Here is an 8,750-nt window from a genome sequence, read left to right as displayed (position 1 = left end):
TTGGAGTGCAGTGGTGGGATCTCGACTCACTGAAACCTCCGTCTCTCGGGTTCAAGGGATCCTCCTCCCTCAGCCTCCAAGTAGCTGGGATTACAGGCGCCTGCCACTATGCCAGGCTAATTTTTGTATTTTTAGTAGAGATGGGGTTTTGTCCTGTTGAGCAGGCTGGTCTCAAATTCCTGACCTCAAGTGATCCGCCCACCTCGGCCTCCCAAAGTGTTGGGATTACAGGCGTGAGCCACTGTGCATGGCCTGTGACGAGGTTTTGCTATGTTGTTCAGGTTGACCTTGAACTCCTGCGCTCAAGTGATTCTACCATCTCTGCCTCCAAAATTGCTGGGATTATAGGTGTGAGCCACCACGTCTGGCAGAGCCACAATCTTTCAACCTTTTTTTTTTCTAAGGTGAGAGAGAGAAGTACAATAAATGGAAAAAATAAAAACAACACATATCCAAATAGCTCCAGTTAACAGTGTCATTTTATTGTCACTTTTTTGTTGCTTTTGTAACTATTTATTTATGTGTTTTTTGCTTGTTTGTTTGTTTGTTTGAGATGGAGTCTTGCTCTGTCGCCCAGACTAGAGTGCAGTGCGTGATCTCGGCTCACTGCAAACCCCGCCTCTGGGTTCAAGCGATTCTCCCACCTCAGCCTCCCGAGTAGCTGGGCTTACAGGCACCAACCACCATGCCTGGCCAATTCTTGCATTTTTAGCAGAGACGGGTTTCACTATGTTGGCCAGTCCAGTCAAACACTTATATATTCATTGTCTCTTAATGTCAAATGACTATATATATATATTTTCTACTCAATATAATTCATAAATTCACACAACATGACTATATTCTAAGTCTCAGAGCATGGAGTATTCTTTGGATGTACACACAAAATTTATGCCCCCAGCAACAAATCCCAATCCCAGTTTTTCAACAGCTTATGATTTTCCATGCATCTCACTGGTTGCTACAGCATGCTCACTTTAAATTCCTCAATATTTTGTTTCTGAAAAGTCACACATTTGGCATTGAGGAGCAAGGAAGAGAATGTGAAGAGAATATCACAACATGAAAAGAGTAATGGTGCGCCATGATTCCAGATTAATGCAAAGAACAGTCAACCAGCAAAGTCCGCGGGAACAAGCCTTTGGGGTCCACTTCTGCCCTCTGACAGGTTCATCGGCCTTTTGTCGTGCTCACTGAGACAGAACTCAGCTCTCTCTTTATTCTCCTCCACTGTGTTCACCTCTACTCAAATCTGACAGATATTGTACTCCATGGTAATACAACCTCTCTATACAGAGCTTTCATCCATTTGGAGTCTATGGCACAGGCTGGAGGCAGGAGGACAGATAATGAACAGAATCTCTCCACCTGGGCCCCCTGAGTTCAAAGGCTTCAGGCTTATTTTTGTAAACTGAATCCAATCTTATACAGAGTAGTTTTATATTTCCACATTCTGATAAGAAGGACAAAAAGAAGCAATTAACTTTCTGATCTCCATGAGGAGACACATGGTAATTAATTCATTAATCTCGGCATTCTTCTTCCCCGGTTTATGTAGTCAGAGAGGAATGATTTGTAAGACTAGACTTTGGCTCTAACCTCACAACAACTATGGGTTATGATCAGCTGAGAAATTGTTCTCCTCCCTCTACAATGATGACAAATGAGTCATTTAGAATTTTAAAGGCGAGGATATTTTCTAGAGGATTTTTGGGTCTGGGTTTTTGCTTACTCTATATTAAAAGAGCCTTATGGTGACTCCCAGGAAGTAGTATCAACAAAAGATATTCCATGTAATACGTTACTCCAAACTTTCCTCTTTAGTTCCAAGAACCATGATGAAGATTTATGACTGTCATCGTGTGTATGCAACCATGCAGTCACACAGGGCCCAGCACAGGCCTTTCTGAACATGAAACCTTGTCTCTACTAAAACTACAAAATTAGCTGGGGGTGGTGGCAGGTGCCTGTAATCCTAGTTACTCAGGAGGCTGAGGCAGGAGAATTGCTTGAGCCCAGGAGGCAGAGGTTGCAGTGAGCCGAGATGGTGCCACTGCACTCCAGCCTGGGTGACAGAGCAAGACTCCATCTCAAAAATAAATAAATAATAAAAATAAATAAATAAATATAATAAAATAAAATAGCTCTGCTCCCCCACATTTTTTCTCATTCCGTCTGCCACAAACCAAAGTGATCACTGATGTAATTTTTGTCACTATAAATTAGTATGCATTTCCTAGAATTGTAGATATATGAAATGAAACAGCATATTCTGTTTTGGGGGGTGGAAGGGTCTGACTTCTGTTACTGAGCATAATTATTTGAGATTATCCATGCAATATTCCATTGCATGAATTTACGATAGCTTGCTTATCTCTTCATCTATTAACAGATATTTGGTTTGTTTTCATTTAGGGGTTAACAAGTAAAGCTTCTATGAACATCCATGAAAAAATCTTTGCACAGAATTATGCATTCAATTCTCTTGAGTAAATATCTAGGAATAGAAAAGCTGTATCCTATGATGGATATATATTTAACTTTTTAAGGAACTGGCAAATTGTTTTCCAAAATGATTGTATGTATCATTTTACATTTCCACCAACCTTGTGTGAGACTTCCAGTTCCTTCACATCCTTGTCAACACTTGGTACTATTAATCTTTTACATTTTAGACATTTTAGGGAGTGTGTAGTAATATTGCATTATGGTTTAAATTTGCATTTTTCTAATGACTAATGATGTTGAGTACTTCTTATTGTGCTTATTTGTCATCTGCGTATCTTCTTTGGTGAATTTTCTGTTGAAAATTTTTGCTCACTTAAAATTTGTGTTATTTTCTAAATTATTGAGTTTTGAGAGTACTTTATATATTCTGGATACAGATATATGCTCTGAAACTATTTTCTACCAGTCGGTAGCTCTTTTTTTTTTTTTTATTCTTAATAGTGTCTTTCAATGAGCAGAAGTTTACTTAATTTTGATGAAATACAATTGAACAATCTATTTTATGAATTGTGCTTTTGACATCATATCTAAGAAATCTTTGCAAAGCCAAGGTCACAAAAACTTTCCCCTGTTTCCTTCTAGGAGTTTTATAGTTTGGTTTCTACATTTAGGTCTATGATCTGAATTATTATTATTGCTTAGAGATGGGATCTTACTATGTTGCCCAGGCTGGAGTGCAGTGGCTATTCACAGGCATGATCATAACACAAGATAGCTTCAAACTCCTGAGCTCAAGCCATCCTCCTACCTCAGACTCCCAAGTAGCTGGGAATATAGGTACCTGTCACCATGCCTGGCTTGAGTTAGTTTACACATGTTGCAAAATTTGGATTGAAGCTCATTTTTTTGACATATGGATGTCCAGTTGTTCCAGATGAAAAGACTGTCATTTCTCCACTAAATTGTTTTGGCAGTTTTTTTGAAAATTAGTTGTTCAGAGGTGTGTGTATCTGTTTCTGGACTTTTTTTTTTTTTTTTTTTTTTAGACAGTGTCTCGATCGGTTGTCCAGGCTGGAGTGCAGTGGCATGATCTTGGCTCACTGCAACCTCCGCTCACTGCCTCCTCCTCCCAGGCTCAAGCAATCCTACTTCCTCAGTCTCACGAGTAGCTGGGACCACAGGCATGTGCCACCATGCCTGGCTAATTCTTGTAGTTTTTGGTAGAGACAGGGTTTTGCCATATTGCCCAGGCTGATCTCGAACTGCTGGGCTCAAGTGATTCACCTGCCTTGGCCTCCCATAGTATTGGTATTACAGGCATGAGCCACTGTGCCTGGCCTGGACTGTTGGTTCTGTTCTATTAATTTATCTATTTTTATTCCAATACCTTCGGTATATTGATTACTTGAGTTTTTACTAATAATTCTTGAAATCTGATAGTGTTAGTCCTCCAACGTTGTTTTCTTTTTCAAAGTTGTTTTGAATACTCTAGGACTTTTGAATTTCCATATCAATTTTGGAATCAGCTTGTTGATTTCTATAACAATGCATGCTAGGATTTTGATTGGATTGCGTTGAATCTAGAGATCATTTTGAGATAATTGATATCTTAACAGTATTGAGTTTCTGATTTATGAGCAAGGTGTCTCTCTCCATTTACTTAGGTCTTTAATTTCTCTCAATGTTTTGTAGGTTTCGGTGTGTAAGTTTTTCCTATCTTTTGTTAGGTTTGTTCCTAGTAATTTCATGTTTTTTAGGCCATTGAAAATAATAATGTTTTTATTTTCAATTTCTGATTTTTTATTGCTAGTCTATAGACGTACAGTTAATTCTTGTATATTGACCTTGTATCCCACAAACTCAGTCAACTCACTTATTGGTTCTAGTAGGGTTTTTATAGGTTTCATCAGTTTTTCTACAAGAGTTGTTATTAGTTTTTTACTACCTTATTTTATTGAGTTGATAATGTATACTAGAGCATACCATTAGAAAAAAAACCCCTAAAACTAACTCATATTTACTTAGGTCTTTTTAAATTTCTCTCATGTCATTTAAAAAAAAAAGATGGCTTTATTCCTTCTTTTCCTGAAATGGATTTTTTTTTTCCCCTTGCCTGTCACACTGCCTAGAATCTTCATCATTGAAAGTGAGCATCTTGGCTGGGCATGGTGGCTCACGCCTGTAATCCTAGCACTTTGGGAGGCCAAGGCGAGTGGATCACTAGGTCAGGAGATCGAGACCATCCTGGTTAACATGGTGAATGAAACCCCGTCTCTACTAAAAATACAGAAAATCACCTGGGTGCGGTGGTGGGCGCCTGTAGTCCCAGCTACTCAGGAGGCTGAGGCAGGAGAATGGCATGAACTCGGGAGGCAGAGTTTGCAGTGAGCCAAGATCGCGCCACTGCACTCCAGCCTGGGCGATAGAGTGAGATTCCATCTCAAAAAGAAAAAAAAAAGAAAAGAAAAAAAAAGAAAAGAAAAAAAAAAGTGAGCATCTTTTTCTTGTTCCTGATTTTAAGAAAAAAATTTTCAAATTTTCACCATTAAGTATGATGGTACTTATAGGATTTCATGAATGGACTACTGGAAATGAGCTCATATTAGTTTTAGTTTTTTTATGGTATGCTCCAGTGTACACTATCAATTCAGTAAAATAAATCAGTGAACAACTAATAATCTGTGGTTGGTTTAATCTGTGGTTGGTTGAATCCCCAGTTGCAGAACCCATAGATACAGAGGGCCAACTGGATCTCCCTCATCAAAGATATGGAGGGCAGACAGCTGAGAGGTGAGGCCAGCTGGACTTCCCGGTTTGAGTGGGGACTTGGGGAACTTTCCTGTCTTACAAGAGGATTGTAAAACACACCAATCAGGAATTTTCCAGTCTTACAAGAGGTTTGTAAAACGTACCAATCAGCGCTCTACAAAATGCACCAATCAGCACTCTGTAAATCGCATCCATCAGCAGTCTGTAAAATGCACCAGTCAGCAGGATTCTAAAAGTAGCCAATGGTGGGGAGGATTGAAAAAAGGGCATTCTGATAGGACAGAAACAGAACATGGGAGGGGACAAATAAGGGAATAAAAGCTGGCCACTTCAGCCAGCAGCTGCAACCCAGTCGGGTCCCCTTCCACGCTGTGGAAGCTTAGTTCTTTCGCTCTTCACAATAAACCTTGCTACCGCTGGCGCTACCGCTCGCGCGTTGGGTCCACGCCATCTTTAAGAGCTGTAACACTCACCTTTAATAGCTGTAACACTCATCGCGAAGGTCCACGGCTTCATTCTTGAAGTCAGCGAGACCATGAACCCACCGGCAGGAACCATCTGCAGACACACAGCTACCTCCTATATTGCGTGTCGTACAATGTCACCTTATAGGGGATATCATATATATCTCTTAAAACTTAACCTAAAAAAGTCCCTAGTAGAAAACAGTGGGCACAGAACATTAATAGGCAATTCAGAGAAGAAACACAAATGATCATGAAACATAAATACAGGCTCAACCTTACTAACAAAAAGTTCAAATTAAGCAAAAATAAAGTACCATTTTTATCAGAGTATGAAAATGAAAAACGTTGGTAATATCTGATATAGGGGAGCATATTAATTACAATATTTCTGCACTACTGTAACAGAACAAATAAGAAAGTGACTTAACAACAATGCACATTTCTCTTCTTTTTAATACTGCCAGTGTGAGTAGTCCAGATCAATTTGGACTGTTTCGCAAGTGGGTAACTTGCCCTGGGCCCCATGACTCAGTGCCCCCTCCTTTACAGGCTTTGCGCTCTGTATCAGGCAGTCCTCCAGGGCTGACCTGGCCGCCTCCTTCTAGGGCTTTTGAGACTTTTGCTGCACAATGCCAACGGGCTCTATCAACTGATGGCTCTATCTTGCCTCTGATTGTGTGGCCACATCGTGTCCTCTGAGGCTGGCCTTAAGTCGTGCCAACAAGGGACAGACATTTCTTGTGTGAACGGGGCTGCCACTCTGACTTTGCCCATGGGGCCCTGATTTATCCTTCTTTCTCCTGGCAGTATGTGGAAGGTAGGGGGGTGGTCAACAGTGATTATGGCTTAAAGAGCTCAAGAGAAGGCGCTGTTGGAAAATGTGTTGTTCTACCTTTATGTGATAAAATTCCAAATGGCAAATTTAACATGACTAGAAAATGAATTAGGATTCATATCTTCCTGCATACTCTGGTTAAGACTTGCATTTGTCTTCATCATCAATGAAGCATGGTAACAATCTTTGACAGCGTCATTGGAAGTCACTGTATGATGCACAGTCAGGAGTAATAATGTAACTAGCATTAAATAAATAGCACTAGGGAACTGCATAGCCAAGATAACCTATATTGTTTCAATACAAATTCCCAAGAGCTATAGAATTTGAAGTAGTAACCGTGTTGCTTCTTTCTTCTCAGGTTGGGATATGATATTAGCCAGAAAGGATGCATTGAGAATTCATGGACCTGTGCAGGAAAATATGGTGCACTTATTGAACAATAGGCAAATATATAAGTACTTCTCTACTCATTATTCTAAAGCTTCATCAATAAATCACTCTACTTTACAGGGGCTAATGAATGCTGTACTATATTTTAAAATTAAATTGTTTACTTTGAAATAAAAAAATGAGGATTTTTTTTTTTTAAAGACCAGGAAGAATTATACCCAAGTTAAATTGTGTCTGAGTGTTGGTTTCATATGAGACTTTGTTTCTTTTCATATGTTCTATAACATGGTACATTAAATTAGAAAATAACTTGGCCATGGTCAGTTAGCCAGGCATGGTGGTGAGTGCCTGTAATCCCAGCTACTTGGGAGGCTGAGGCAGGAGAATCCCTTGAACTCGGGAGGCAGAGGTTGCAGTGAGCTGAGATCATGCCATTGCACTCCACTCTGGGCAAAAAGAGCAAAACACCGTCTCAACAATAATAATAATATTAAATTCTCTTTGAATGCAATTCCTATGCTCTTTTATTAAAAAAAGGAAATATAAGGTACATCTTTTAAAAGATACAAAAAGGCATATATGGTGAAAAATAAATCTTCCTCTTATCCTGTTCTTCAGTCACCTAGTTCCTTTCCCCAGAGGTAATCACTGTTAGTTTCTTTGAATCTTTCAAGAGATGGAAAATCTATCTCTGTGTGTGTTTGTGTGTGTGTATAAATTTTCTTTTTAAAGGCAAATGATTAAAAAAATACATACACAGTTCTGTACTTTGCTAATTTTATTAATATGGTTTGGATCTGATCCTATCAGTCCATAAAGAGTAGACTCTTTAATAATTGTATAGTATTTTATTAAATGGGTATATGCAATATAATTTATTAACTAGCTCTCAATCTATTGTTATTTCAACAATATTGAACTTAATATTCTCACACATAGGCCTGGAAATATCTGCGAGTTAAAATAGGTAATATGTAAGTGGATTTGCTAGATCAAAGGGGATAGTCACTTAAAATACATTGCAAAACTGCTCACTAGAGATGTTTAGCAATTTTACACCAACAGTGCATGTGTATCTCTCACTACAAGCTTGCCAGCTTGTGGAATCTTGCCATTCCCTATGCTCTTTTCAGTGTAGAACACTGCCTGCCTCTGAGTCTCAGTTCCAGGATCATATACTAGGTTTGTGACTTTGGACAAGTCAAGTTAATCTCTCTGAACCATCTTCCTCAATGGAAAGGAATATCCATTTTCTTTTCTTTCTTTTTTTTTTTTGAGATGGAGTTTCACTCTTATTGCCCCGGCTGCTGGAGTGCAGTGGTGTGTTCTTGGCTCACCACAAACTCCACCTCCCGGGTTCAAGTGATTCTCCTGCCTCAGCCTCCTGAGTAGCTGGGATTACAGGCATGCGCCACCAAGCCCTGCTAATTTTGTATTTTTAGTAGAGACGGGGTTTCTACATGTTGGTCAGGCTGGTCTTGAACTCCCGACATCAGGTGATCTGCCCGCCTCGGCCTCCCAAGGTGCTGGGATTACAGGCGTGAGTCACCGCGCCCAGCCAGAATATCCATTTTCTAAAGCTCCTATAAAAATTAAAGGAGATATGCTAAAGCCCAACCATTACACAAATGAGAGGCAGAATCAATATTTTTATATATTCTACATATAAATGTTAGGTGTGAAAGTGATTACGGTTTTTGCCATTACTAAAAACCGCAATTGCTTTTGCACCAACATAATAGCTCTTGTACTTTTCCTCCACTTCTGTTCTTAGCAGGGCAACAGTTCTATTATTCATCTACTTGCTTTTTGTTTCTTTCTCACACACTCCATCCCTC

This window comes from Homo sapiens, chromosome 9 (genome assembly GCF_000001405.40).
Source record: "Homo sapiens chromosome 9, GRCh38.p14 Primary Assembly".
NCBI classification, from domain to species: domain Eukaryota; kingdom Metazoa; phylum Chordata; class Mammalia; order Primates; family Hominidae; genus Homo; species Homo sapiens.
Note: the sequence above shows the minus strand (reverse complement) of the source record.